Source organism: Homo sapiens, chromosome 7 (genome assembly GCF_000001405.40).
Source record: "Homo sapiens chromosome 7, GRCh38.p14 Primary Assembly".
In the NCBI taxonomy this organism is placed as follows: domain Eukaryota; kingdom Metazoa; phylum Chordata; class Mammalia; order Primates; family Hominidae; genus Homo; species Homo sapiens.
This window is the reverse complement of record NC_000007.14, coordinates 44979091-44991496: the sequence shown is the minus strand read 5'-3', so window position 1 is coordinate 44991496 and position 12406 is coordinate 44979091. Positions and strand designations below refer to the sequence as shown.

The following is a 12406-nucleotide window of genomic DNA, read 5'->3' as shown; positions in this document are numbered from 1 at the left end:
GGTGAAACCCCCGCCTCTACTAAAAATACAAAAATTAGCCAGGCATGGTGGCAAGCGCCTGTAATCCCAGCTACTCGGGTGGCTGAGGCAGGAGAATTGCTTGAACCCGGGTGGCAGAGGTTGCAGTGAGCCGAGATCATGCCACTGCACTCCAGCCTGGGTGACAGAGCAAGACTCTGTCTCAAAAATAAATAAATAAATAGCCAGGTGTTGTGGCAAGCTCCTGTAGTCCCAGTTACTTGGGAGGCTGAGATGGGAGGATCACTTGAGCCTGGGGGTGTGGAGGTTGCAGTGAGCCATGATAGCACCACTGTGCTCTAGCCTGGGAGACACAGTGAGACCCTGTCTCAAAAAAAAAAAATCTATCTTTTGTTACAAGGACTCTAGCTGAGAATTTAGAAGGGTAGCAAGAAAATTCATCTTTCCTCCCCTAAATATGCTACTGATAGAGGCGGGAGACAGCCAAATGCCATCCAGGTCATTATGCACAGGGGGCTTGCCTAAACATGCCTACAGTGAAAAATTCTATCCCTTAACACATGTGCAGTAAGGGAAATAAATCAGTGTGGAGTGGCTCAGATTAGAGGCCTACATGTGCACTGGGGAAATGGGGTGGAGCCACCAGGAATTCATGCTTTATGCAGGGGAGCCGGGCTTCTTCAGCTCCAGTATGGTGGCCTGATATTCAGTCTGTGGAGTAGGAGCCTGTTGGCAGGACCACCTCTTTGCTAAGGGCTTTCTTTTCACTTAATACATTCTGACCCTTCAATGTGTCCATGTGCCTAATTTTTCCTGATCGGGAGACAAGAGCCCAGATTTTAGCTGAACTAAGAAGAAAAATATCGTGCGTCACTAGTTGGCCTGGAAGAACAATGGAATTACTCATTTGAGATGTGGGTTTGAAGAAAGTTATTTTTAGTATTCTGATAAGCAGTTAAAATACTGCTGTCATGTTTCTCTCTTTGTGCCAGTCTCATGCAGTTTCCCAGCAAAATCACAATTAAACTGATAATGTGATTTTTATGTTTTGGCATCCTTTCAGATTTTGTTTTTTTTGTTTTGTTTTTGAGACGGGGTCTGGGTGTGTCACCCAAGCTGGAATGCATTGGCATAATCACAGCTCATTGCAGCCTCAACCTCTGGGGCTCAAGTGATCTTCCCACCACCTCAGCCTCCTGAGTAGCTGGGACTATCAGCGGACGCCACCATGACTGGCTAATTTTTAAACTTTTTGTAGAGACGGGTTTTGTGATGTTGCTCAAGCTGGTCTTGAACTCCTGGGCTAAAGCAATCCTCCTGTCTGAGCCTCCTGAAGTGCTGGGATTACAGGCCACGATGTCTGGCCTCTAATTACTTTGATAATAAGTAAGCATCTCCCCTTCTCTTTTTTTTCTGAGACAGAGTCTCACTCTATTGCCCAGGCTGGAGTGCAATGGCACAAACTTGGCTTTGCCTCCTGGGTTCAAGCAACCTCTGCCTCCCAGGTTCAAGCAATTCTCCTGCCTCAGCCTCCCAAGTAGCTGGGATCACAGGCGTGTGCTACCATGCCCGGCTAATTTTTTGTATTTTTAGTAGAGATGGCGTTTCACCATGTTGGCCAGCCTGCTCTTGAACTCCTAACCTGCCTTCCAAAGTATTGGGATTACAGGTGTGAGCCACCACGCCTGGCTCTTTGTTGTTTGTTTTTGAGCTGGAGTCTCGCTGTGTCACCCAGGCTGGAGTACAGTGGCGCCATCTCGGCTTACTGCAACCTCCACCTCCTGAGTTCAAGCGATTCCCCTGCCTCAGCCTCCTGAGTAGCTGGGACCGCAGGCATGCACTACCACACCCAGCTAATTTTTGTATTTTTAGTAGAGACGGGGTTTCACCATGTTGGCCACGCTGGTCTTGGAACTCCTGACCTCAGGTGATCCGCTCACCTCAGCCTCCCAAAGTGCTGGGAATACAGGTGTGAGCCACCGCGCCTGGCCGCATCCCCCACTTCTCTAGTGAATTTTTTGGGGTTATCACTGTGTTAAAAAGCTCTTCTCTTTGAGTCCCTTGGGAGATCCCACTTTCTTCAGTAACACACCTTCTCTGGCCCTTCGTAGCTATTTACTTTCCCAGTACTCTTTCATCATCTTGAAACCACCATTGCAAAATTATAACTGAGACAGTGACAGAGATCTGACCGAACCAACTCCATCTTGCTTCTAACTTCCAAGCTGTCCTTGTTCATTCCTGAGTGTAGGCTGAACTAACTTTGGGAGGAACTTAGTTTATAGTTTAAAAGAAAGACAATAATAGCCCTTTCCCAAAACAAACCCCCATCTTGCCTGGGGACCAGAATGCCTTTGTAGGAGTAACAAATTAGCCAAAAGATTAGAAATTATGATTTAGGAGTCATGCAGCTAGAGGCTACAGGATTCTGACCCTCCCCAAATTGCTCCCGGGAATAACATCACTGAAGTCTAAGATCAGTGCTTGAGATATTTTGCAGACCTCGCACTGGATGGATCAGCTGGCACCACCCAGATCGATAAACTGGCTCATCAGATCTTGTGGCCCCCACCCAGGAACTGACTCAAGCACAAGACAGCTTCAATTCCCTATGATTTCATCTCTGACCCGATCAATCAGCACTCCTGACTCACTGGATGCCACCCACCCTCCAAATTATCCTTAAAAACTGTGACCTCCAAATGCTTGGGGAGACTCATTTGAGTAATAAAAAAAGTCCCAGTTTCCCACACAGCTGGCTCTGCATGAATTATTCTTTCTCTATTGCAATTCACCTGTCTTGATAAATTGGTTCTGCCTAGGCAGCAGGCAAGGTGAACCTGTTGGGCCATTACAATCTCATAGCAGTGGCAGAATGGACAGACCAGTGAACCCTGTGCTAGGACAACCTGCACCAGGCCCTGGCTGTTGTAGGAGGTCCTTTTTTTTTTTTTTTTTTTTGAGATGGAGTTTCACTCTTGTTGTCCAGGCTAGAGTGCAATGGCGCGATCTCGGCTCACCGCAACCTCCGCCCCCTGGGTTCAAGCAATTCTCCTGCCTCAGCCTCCCAAGTAGCTGGGATTACAGGCAGGCACCACCACGCCCGGCTCATTTTGTATTTTTAGTAGAGACCGGGTTTCTCCATGTCAGTCAGGCTAGCCCCAAATTCCTGACCTCAGGTGATCCACCCGCCTCCCCGCCTCGGCCTCCCAAAGTGCTGGGATGACAGGCATAAGCCACCGCGCCCAGCCTGTTGTAGGAGGTCTTGAACAAACCACTTAACTTGTTTGGGTGGGGCTTAGTTTCCACGTTAGTAATCTGGAAGTAACAGTTCTGCCTTATCTGTCTGTTAGGGTTTTGACACTTAGTGAAGTATGGGATTTGTATACTGTAAAGTGATTGAATGTATTTACTAGGTGCAATACATAAAATACGAGTTTCAAGCACTGCTCTGCTTTTACTTATAGAACCACGTTCTCACTTTTCTAGCCTGATCATTCAAGACCCTTGAACACATCGTCCTTATCTCCCGCTCCTCATTGAGACCCTTCCAGAACACTACAAACTTGTAATACTTAGCTGTATCACCAGCAAACCATGTCCTTCCCAATTTCAGGACCTTTCAATGTGCTTTCCTCTGCCTGGGGGTGGGTGGGGGGTGGAGAGTAGTTTCCTCCCAACCCATGAAACCTCTCCACAAAGGTAGAAGAGACAGAAAACCATTACTGAATAAGTATTAAACCAGATTGTGATGCCGTACATCACATGCAACCTGCTAAAGGCAACACAAAGACAGAAACTCACTTTTTCTATGCAGCTAAGTAGAGATAGCCCATCACATTATGTAGGTTTTGCAATTTGGAGTCAGGTGCCAAGTTAAGCCTTTGTCCTCCTAAGAAGCTGGACTCTTGGCCCTTTCGTCCCTTAACAATTGCATTTTTTTCTTTCTTTGTTTTTGAGACAGAGTCTCGCTCTGTCTCCAGGCTGGAGTGCAGTGGTGCTATGTCGGCTCACTGCAACCTCCGCCTCCCGGGTTCAAGCGATTCTCCTGCCTCAGCCTCCCGAGTAGCTGGTACTACAGGCACGCTTCACCATGCCCAGCTAATTTTTGTATTTTTAGTAGGGACAGAGTTTCACCATGTTGGCCAGGATGGTCTCGATCTCTTGATCTTGTGATCCGCCCGCCTCAGCCTCCCAAAGTGCTGGGATTGCAGGCGTGAGCCACCGCACCCAGCCAACAATTACACTTCAAGGAGATGGCTCCCAAGAAACATTCCTGAGTTGAACCTGGCCATATAAGAAAAAGACTTGAGTACATTTGGAAAGGAGAGAGGCTGAAATTTTGAAAGAAAAAGGGAGGGGGATGGTTTCTCGTCCCTTCTTTTCCTCAGGGAAAATTAAACCCTATGTATAATTTGTATTTGCCCTTCCACCTGCATCACCTTTCCCACATGCTCCCACAGGCAGGCTCCTGTTCATTCCCAAGGCTCCGTGTCCACATCGTGCTTGGATTCCGCCCGGCCCCGCCTGTGCGGCCGCACCAGGAAGGCACCACCCATTAGGGGCTCAGCGCGTCCCTCCAGGCCACGCCGTCAGGCCTCCGTCCTTTTAGCTGTAGGGGCAGATTACGTAACTCCAGCCTTCTGGTCACTAAAGGAGGGTAACAAAGGGCGGTCGAGAGACTCCACTGAGTTGACACGCAGACGCAGCCTCAGGACCCTAAACTCTACGCCCCAGCACACCCTACCAAGCGAGCGCCCGCGGCCGCGTGACGTCATCTACCCCAAACGCTGTGGCCCCGGCCACGCACGGCTTCGGGGCGGGACTACGCGGTGACGTCGAGGTGCGCGGCGCAGCGCGCGGCGTCAGTCTTGGCTGGCAGACCTGTACTCCGTACTCCGTACTTCGTAGTCGCAGCGGCGCGGTCTTCGGCAGTCTAGTCATCCACCGCCATCCTGGGCCCCACGTGTTGCCTGACCATTCCTGAGCCCAGGTAGGGGTCCTGGGGGATTGGGTTCAGTGGCGGGCGGCGTGGGAGGCTGGGCCGCAGTGAGTGGGGGCACCAGTGATTCTTGGAGACCAAGCCTTCACTACACGTGCTACTTCCTCTCAAGAGGCGGTTGAGCGCGTTCGGAACATTTTACCCGGAGGAGACTCGGGGATTACTTGATGAGTAACCTCGTGCTTCTCTTTCAGCCGAGAAGTGGGGCTTCTGCATGACCTGGGTGGACCCCAGTAGGTGGGATGGGACGTGTGGTCAGGAGGGACCTCACCGGAAGGCATGGGGTGGCGTGTAGACCTGCCGCAAGAGAGGCTGTAGAGTGGGCCAGGCGTTGCAAGGAGCTAGAGCTGGATAATGGTTCAGAGGCACAAGCTGAAGCTAACTGCGTTTGGAGCTAACTGCATTTGTTCCCTTCTAGGTGGGAGCCGTGGCTGAGGTGACGGTCTCAAAGTGGAAGAGCTTACTGTCACAGCAACTCCTTTGCAAGATGCCCCGGTAAATCACGTTGCAGAGACCCCAACTCTGCCTTCCTGGAACTAGGCCTGCGTTTTCTCTGAACCATTATTTCATGGGGAAAATGAAATCTACTTCATGTGCCTGGTCTACTTACTCCTTCAGAAGTGATTTCTGAGCCGTAAGATACATGAGAAAAAAATGAAGGGGAAAAGGCAGTATTTATATTAACTACATGATGATAAGGATGTTTCTGGTCACAGTGAAAAGCCATGCTAGAATTGTAGTGTCATAGAATAATGTGGAAGTTTAGTTCGTGTTGTCTGATCTATTTAATAATTTAATAAGGTTATCTCTTCCAAGACACCTTCCCTTCTTCCTCAGCCAGAAAGGATCTTTCCCTGAGAGTCATTAGTAGCTCTGGGCTCCTGGAACCAAGCTCAGGTGCCTAATTGAACTCTGGTCTCTTCCCACAGCCCCCAGCAGGGACTGGTGCTTAGTGAGAGTGGACTGCCAGATTCCTTGAGTGTGGGGGATTTGGGTGAATGAGGGTAGCAAGCCTCCAGCGTGCTTGGGTCTGCGGTGACCCTATGCATTCCTTCAGTGCTTGCTAGAACAGTTTTGAAACGGTTTGAGGCCTTGCCCTGCTCCATCCAGAGCAAGGTTATAGAAATTTCAGACAATGACTTCCTCCCTCCTGGATCTAGTGTCCTGGGCCTTGTATAGATCCGTGCCATCTAATGTGGTAGCCACTTGGCACACATGATTAAATTAAATTTGGAGTTTTATTTCATTTTCACACTAGCCACATTTCAGATGATCAGTAGCCACAGGTGGCCAGTGGCTACCATATTGGACCGCACAGATTAGAGGGCATTTCTGTCGCTGTGGAAGTTGTTTTGGACAATGCTGGTGTGAAAGGTGAAGGGAATCCTGAGTGTTTGCTGTGCTCCAGGCTCAGTACAAATTTTATTTTATTATACACTTAAAGCAAAAGTCTTATAAAAGTTGAGGATGAAGCCAAGAGTGGTGGTAAGGGTAGGAGTTGAAACAGTGAAGAGGAATAACAGGGAAGAGTCCTGCCCTGAGAGACTCATGGAATAGGATATTTACAAGGCAAAGCAAAGAGAACCAAAGTCTCAGTTCTGCAGAGGAGCTGAGTGCCCCAGGAGCTAGTGGAGGGTGAGGTCAATGTGTGCTCATCTTAAAGGAAAAACTCATGGAAGAGGAAGGTGCTAATGTTGAACACCTATTTTGCGCCAGACCTCTTAATTGTTTTAAATCTTTGAGGTATCATCATGAGGTCGTTTTTAAGTTCAGTACAGATGAGGGGCCCAAGGTCAGAATTATGTGTCCAGGGTTGCCCAGCCACAAACCAGCAGATCAGGGTTTGATGCCAGGCCTCTCTAACCCTGCATCCTGAGTGGAATATAGAAGCCGGTGGGAAGTTTGGATGGGAAGGAGATGGATGCCTTCAAGTTCTTGTCTTGGTGTTAGGTGTGTTAAAGGACTGGCTGGGATGAGAAGAGTGTTGCTGGCTTGAGCATAGCACGAGCAGCACAGCTCCTGTGTTCCTCTGGGTGGTGGGGTCACCTCTCTTAAAGGTAGAGGCTTTCAGCTGATTCTGTCTTTTCAGGCCAGGAATAGTTGCTGAACACCCCAGGCCTGCTGAGGTCCCTCCTTGAGTCTCATGTTCAAGCAGTCTTGTGAGTAAAGCACTGGCTACCCCTTTTCACTTACTATCTTTTCAAGCATGTTCTACCACCTTGGAAGGTAAGAGGTTAGTACCTTCTTCCAGAGCAGAGGGCAGGCATTCTTGCTGTGCGTTGTGAAAGGGTAGAGTCCTGCGCTCCTTTCTTGTAGTAGTCCAATGGCTCATGCAGGTGCCTCTGACTCCCCTATGGGAACTGGGGCTTGGGAGGGTGGTGGAAAATGCTGATGCTCTGGCTATTGCTATTGTTTTGAATAATCAGTGGTCCCTTGTCCCTAATCGAGGAATTTTGTATTTTCTACCAGTGTCCATGAAACTGGGAGGCGACCGTGTTAGCTGCCAGTTCCTGACAGCCACCTCTCACCAGTGGCTTCACTCTGTGTCCCTGACCCAGCACATGGCACAAGAGTGCCTGCCATCCGTCAGTGTTTCTACAGCAGCAATCCCAAGATGCTGGAGCTAGAGGGGACCTGACCTGAGAGAAGATACCTTCAGTGGCTGCCAGGCTGTTCCTTGGAACCTGTGCAGGGGTAAGTGTGCAGGAAGGTCTGACCTGGCAAGTCACTTCACTCCTGTTTTATTTAGAGTCACCTGGCTAATGAAAAGTATTTTGACCTTCCCGTATGGTAAGTCAGGTGATTGAATCCCAGAAAGGTTCATTGTCTTCAAGCTCACAATACTATTTTGGGACAAACAGTTGTCTAGTGTTTGGACTCATGAACCCTGATTCTTGAGGGTGGTATTTTACTGCTTTTGTGATTTGGTTTCAACATATATAGTCTTTTCTCCGGAGTTACCTTAGGTCAGTGGCCAGTGTTTCAGCCCCTGGAAAGGGCATGGGCTGCCACTGAGGTTGGTCACAGGCCTCTCAGCTCATGGTGGGAGTGGGTTCAGGAGTTGGTAAGTAGGGTTCAGTTCTGTTGTTGCCACCGATGGCAACAGGGGTTTGTAATAATCCCTAGTTGTGTCAATTATGTCACTTAATTTTCACAACAGGTCTCTGAAGTGTTTCTCATCTCATTTTTACAGATGAGGCCTGCCTGTGTTAATACACCTAGTGAGGAGTGGAGCTGAATTTGAATGCAAGCCTTGGCACCTTAATTGAGCAAGTTTGAAACCTCGCTTGTTGCCCTTCTGGAAGGAGTCAGGAATTTCCAGTTCTGGGCCTGGGCTGTGGGTCTGGCAGACAGACCTCTGGCCCTAGGTTTGGGTGCCAGGTTCTCTGCTTCCAGAATGAGAAGCTTTGCTGTGCACCAGGACCTGGGCCCTTCTGGTATCTCCTGAATGAAAAACAAGGGATATTTAATAAATATGGATTTAAATATGTGATTTAGTCTTGCCTGTTTTTTACATATGCCAGATGCAAAGATAGGAAGACCCTGCGTCTTCTTGAAGGAGTTGTCAGCTAAGTCCAAGGGATCCCCAAGTATTTCACCATTCTCAATGCTCATGCTTGTAGATAGCCACTTGGAACTCTGATCATCTTATGTGCATGTGCCACCAGTTTCAACTGACAGTGGCAAGCTGTGGTGAGAGTTCACAAGCCAAGGCCAACTGGCTGAGTTCTACAGTGAGGTGATGGTGCACAAAGGCACTGTCATCAGGAGCTTTACCTTCCAGGAGCATTTGATGGTTGGCTCGATAAGACATTCTGTCTCATCAGATAGTCTTAGGTATTCACCTAAGCATTCAAACAAGTTACAGAAGTAATACCCTTAATATGTGTGATGTGCCCCATGTTGGTATTGGGGATGTTGTCAAGGAATGTTGCAGCAGGCCAGGCCAAGCCCTGACAAATAGAGCCATTAAAGTACCAGTGACTTTTTTTTTTTTTTTGAGATGGAGTCTCTGTCATCCAGGCTGGAGTGCAGTGGCATGATCTCAGCTCACTGCAACGTCTGCCTCCCGGATGAAGTGATTTTCCTGCCTCAGCCTCCCAAGTAGCTAGGATTACAGGCGCCCACCACCATGCCCAGCTAATTTTGTATTTTTAGTAGAGACGGGGTTTCACCATCTTGGCCAGGCTGGTCTTGGAACTCCTGACCTCATGATACACCCACCTCAGCCTCCCAAAGTGCTAGGATTACAGGCGTGAGCCACCAGGCCCAGCATTTTTTTTTTTTTTTTTGAGACGAAGTCTTGCTCTGTCGCCCAGGCTAGAGTGCGGTGGCATGATAGCTCACCATAACCTCCACCTCCCGAGTTCAAGCGATTCTCCTGTCCCAGCCTCTTAAGTAGCTGGGATTACAGGCATATGCCACCATGCCTTAATTTTTGTATTTTTAGTAGACGTGGGGTTTTACCATGTTGGTCAGGCTGGTCTCGAACTCCCTGACCTCAGGTGATCCACCTGTCTCAGTCTCCCAAAGTGCTGGGATTATAGACGTGAGCCACCACACCCAGCCTCCAGTGACTTACATCCAATTTACTACTGACAGTGAATGGAAAAGCACCCAAAGGGGCCTGCAACAGGAGGCACAGCATCTCCCCTTGTTGAGGAGCCAATTCTAGACTGCAGCTGAGCAGATTGTCTAGTCTGCAGCTATACCATGGGGGGAGTGGGGTACGAACCGGAAGTCTCACATCCCTGCTTAGAAAAAAAATCCCAGGAGACAGTAACTCCTGATAGCCTCCCAGAAGGATGGAGCGGGGAATGGAGCTGGCCTTGTGGCAGCGCCTCCTAGGCCTCCACTCTCAGTTCCAGGAGGCTCAGTTGAGCTGTGTGGCCTGTGGCCTATGAGAGTATACCCCTAGGTAGAGCCATTCCCCTACAATTAGCCCAATGGTATCACCTCAGATGAGGTAAAAAAAAAAAATTTTTAATAGAAATACTAAGTTATGGTACAGTTGTGTAGAGCCGAAAAAGCAACTCCCCTGAAAGGGGACATTTTTCTGGGGCTGGGGATTTGCTGCAAGGTCAGCACCAACAGAGCAAGCCTGGGATTTGAAGGTTGCAACGAGGAGGGTGAGGGCAAGGGACCTGCAGGTGCAGCCGTAGGAGCCCTGGTGGAGGCAGGCATTGTGAAACTGATCCAGATGAGATAATGAGAGGGAAACTCACTGGGGCCAGGATGGTTTCCTCAGCCCCTGCCAGGCTTGAGTTGGTGGTGGCCCCTCCTTGCTGTCCTTCCATTAGGAGCCTCTGCCTTTGTTCATCTACCTGTTCTACCAGTCATACCCTGTAAGGAGCATGCCCTGGGGAAGCTGCAGATAGAGCTACCATTTGTCCTCCCTTCTGAGGACCAGGCCGTGACTCTGACTGACCGACTTTTCCCTGGGATTTGAGTAGGACCCACTGAATTCAGTGCTATAAGGGCCCAGAGGTCTGTTGACCCAGGAGGGAACTTCCTTTGTAGTGATGTCATCTCAGCCTCGGTTTTAATATATGTAAAATGAAAATAACAGTAACTCCTACATGTGTCATGAGAATCAAATGAGGCAATGCATGGCAAATTTGTGCAAACTACCAAGGAAGGACGCCCAGGGTCCCAGCAACCAGCAGCAGCTAAAGCAAGGGCGGGCAAACTCCTCCCACCAGCCAAATCTCTGAGCTAAGAGTGGTCTTGACATTTTTAAGTGGTTAGTGGTGGGGGAAATACCCAAAATAGTATGATTACGTGACAGATGAAAAGTTTGCGAAGTTCAGATTTCGGTGTCCTTAACGTTTTACTGGAATACAGCCATCTTGGTTCCACTGGTTGGCTTGACTCCCTGGGGGTTGGGGAAGTGAAACTTGAAAAGACAGATGAGCTGGCAAGAGTCTGGGTGAGAATTCCCAGACTTGAGTGTAGGTTTGGGAAACCCTTCAAAAGCACCAGCCCAAGAGCCTGGGGGTGGGGAGGAGGCCACACTTGTCAGAGTTCCGAAGGACTGACTTTGAATTTGCCCAAGAGGAGCCCCAGGTCTGGCCCAGGGTGGAGCCAGAGGCTGCCCACTTACAAATTTGGGGATTTTTCAGGCCAGTGGCCCCTTATTGCAGTGGTGCGTGACTCAGTTTTATTAGGTACTTGAATAAGTACTTTCAGTTTTATCAGGAATGCATTTGCTTTAAGGTATTCGAGAGAAAAAAATAAACTTAACTTGCCTATCCATTACTTCAAAGTTTAAAAAATGGGATGACTGAAAGACAATAGTTAAACTAGTGCTTATGAGTACAACAAATCTCAAAGGCAGCACATGAATGACTGAAGTTTGGGAATTCTGGAGTCTGCCCTTTGACCTCCCTGTATGAGGGAAGGGGTGAAAGAGAAATGTCACCAGTCTATTTGTAGGATGAGAGAGAACTGCATCCATTTGACCTTTGATGAGAGAATCGCCCCAGTGTTCCTAGAGGATGGGTGTGACCTGCCCCAGTCTGTCCTGGGATGAAAAAGAACTTTTTCCAGTCTGCCTGGAAGCTAAGAGAACTGCACCCCTCCCACTTCTTCCAGGAGCACTAAGTGTCAGGAATGCAGTGTCTGGAGATTTTGGCCACTCCCTAAATGCAGCCGCTCCCCAAATGCGCTGCCTCATCTTCAAAGTGCAGGGACAGCAGCTCTGAGATGAGGCCACAGGGCTCCAGGCATGTTCCTGGTCCTCACTGCAGTTTATGGGGGATCGGCTGGACACAAGTACAAGGCAGAGGACAGTTAGGGGCACAGGGGTCCCACTGAAGGCCAGCCCCATGCAGAGGATGCTCTGGGGTCCTCTGTCCCTCCCCCGTGGCTGGGGTGGGGAATTGCAGTGCTAGGACCACTGGCCCTTGGCAGGTCACACAAGAAGCTTTGCTCGTCTACACCCCAGTGTGGCCTTCACACTGCAAAGAAGGCTGTTGCCCCCACCCCAAAGGCCTGGGCATTAGGATCCTTTTTCATTTTTGTATTAATGTACAATGTACATACAGTATATTGCATCTAGTGTTCAGTTCTGACTTGAGAGACACACACAGCCAGGTAACCAAGATCACGTCAAAAAATCTTTCTTTAAAGTCCCACAAGTGACTCTAACGTGCTGCCAGGGTTGGAAGCCAACCCACGGAGTCTTGTCTCCTGCTTGTGGGTGGAGGGGAGCTTCCGAAGGAGGCCAGCGAAGAACCCTCCAAAGCGGGGAGGACCCAGCATCCGGCCCCTCGCCCCTGGCGTGCAAACGGGTCAGACCGTTAGGCACAGCCTCCTTGTGGGGCGCAGGGACAGGAAGCAGGGTTTAGAGCACCTCGAGGGGGAAGGAGTGGCAAGTGCGGAGGGCAGCCCCTCCCAGGACTAGAACCCACTTCCTACTTTACA

At 49.4% G+C, this 12406-nt stretch overlaps 1 long non-coding RNA gene and 1 other non-coding gene across 6 annotated transcripts, besides 8 other annotated features; both read left to right on the top strand.

Annotated features, from left to right (window-relative positions):
• Positions 2–556: an enhancer, noted in NCBI's record as "H3K27ac-H3K4me1 hESC enhancer chr7:45030540-45031094 (GRCh37/hg19 assembly coordinates)". NCBI's record gives its function as "activates a minimal SCP1, AML or CMV promoter by ChIP-STARR-seq in primed H9 embryonic stem cells {active_cell/tissue: H9 hESC(primed)}" and the evidence as "EXISTENCE:reporter gene assay evidence [ECO:0000049][PMID:30033119]".
• Positions 4208–4955: an enhancer, noted in NCBI's record as "NANOG-H3K27ac-H3K4me1 hESC enhancer chr7:45026141-45026888 (GRCh37/hg19 assembly coordinates)". NCBI's record gives its function as "activates a minimal SCP1, AML or CMV promoter by ChIP-STARR-seq in naive H9 embryonic stem cells {active_cell/tissue: H9 hESC(naive)}" and the evidence as "EXISTENCE:reporter gene assay evidence [ECO:0000049][PMID:30033119]".
• SNHG15 (small nucleolar RNA host gene 15) lies at positions 4801–8474 on the top strand. 5 transcript variants are annotated; one of them, NR_003697.2, is made up of 5 exons: positions 4801–4972; positions 5400–5476; positions 7071–7140; positions 7451–7675; positions 8175–8474. It is a non-coding gene; the product is annotated as a small nucleolar RNA host gene 15 (long non-coding RNA). The 5 variants fall into 5 exon arrangements; NR_152596.1 differs by having other exon boundaries at positions 5400–5615; NR_152594.1 differs by lacking the exon at positions 5400–5476.
• Positions 4956–5702: an enhancer, noted in NCBI's record as "NANOG-H3K27ac-H3K4me1 hESC enhancer chr7:45025394-45026140 (GRCh37/hg19 assembly coordinates)". NCBI's record gives its function as "activates a minimal SCP1, AML or CMV promoter by ChIP-STARR-seq in primed H9 embryonic stem cells {active_cell/tissue: H9 hESC(primed)}" and the evidence as "EXISTENCE:reporter gene assay evidence [ECO:0000049][PMID:30033119]".
• Positions 4991–5110: an enhancer, noted in NCBI's record as "active region_25962". NCBI's record gives its function as "activates an Ori minimal core promoter by ATAC-STARR-seq in GM12878 lymphoblastoid cells {active_cell/tissue: GM12878}" and the evidence as "EXISTENCE:reporter gene assay evidence [ECO:0000049][PMID:35858748]".
• SNORA9 (small nucleolar RNA, H/ACA box 9) lies at positions 5987–6119 on the top strand. The gene has a single exon (NR_002952.1). It is a non-coding gene; the product is annotated as a small nucleolar RNA, H/ACA box 9 (small nucleolar RNA).
• Positions 6229–6409: a silencer, noted in NCBI's record as "fragment chr7:45024687-45024867 (GRCh37/hg19 assembly coordinates)". NCBI's record gives its function as "represses an EF-1alpha promoter that drives an FKBP-Casp9 reporter gene in an ReSE screen in phorbol 12-myristate 13-acetate-treated (for megakaryocytic differentiation) K562 erythroleukemia cells {active_cell/tissue: K562(+PMA)}" and the evidence as "EXISTENCE:reporter gene assay evidence [ECO:0000049][PMID:32094911]".
• Positions 10743–10872: an enhancer, noted in NCBI's record as "active region_25961". NCBI's record gives its function as "activates an Ori minimal core promoter by ATAC-STARR-seq in GM12878 lymphoblastoid cells {active_cell/tissue: GM12878}" and the evidence as "EXISTENCE:reporter gene assay evidence [ECO:0000049][PMID:35858748]".
• Positions 12100–12149: an enhancer, noted in NCBI's record as "active region_25960". NCBI's record gives its function as "activates an Ori minimal core promoter by ATAC-STARR-seq in GM12878 lymphoblastoid cells {active_cell/tissue: GM12878}" and the evidence as "EXISTENCE:reporter gene assay evidence [ECO:0000049][PMID:35858748]".
• Positions 12180–12249: an enhancer, noted in NCBI's record as "active region_25959". NCBI's record gives its function as "activates an Ori minimal core promoter by ATAC-STARR-seq in GM12878 lymphoblastoid cells {active_cell/tissue: GM12878}" and the evidence as "EXISTENCE:reporter gene assay evidence [ECO:0000049][PMID:35858748]".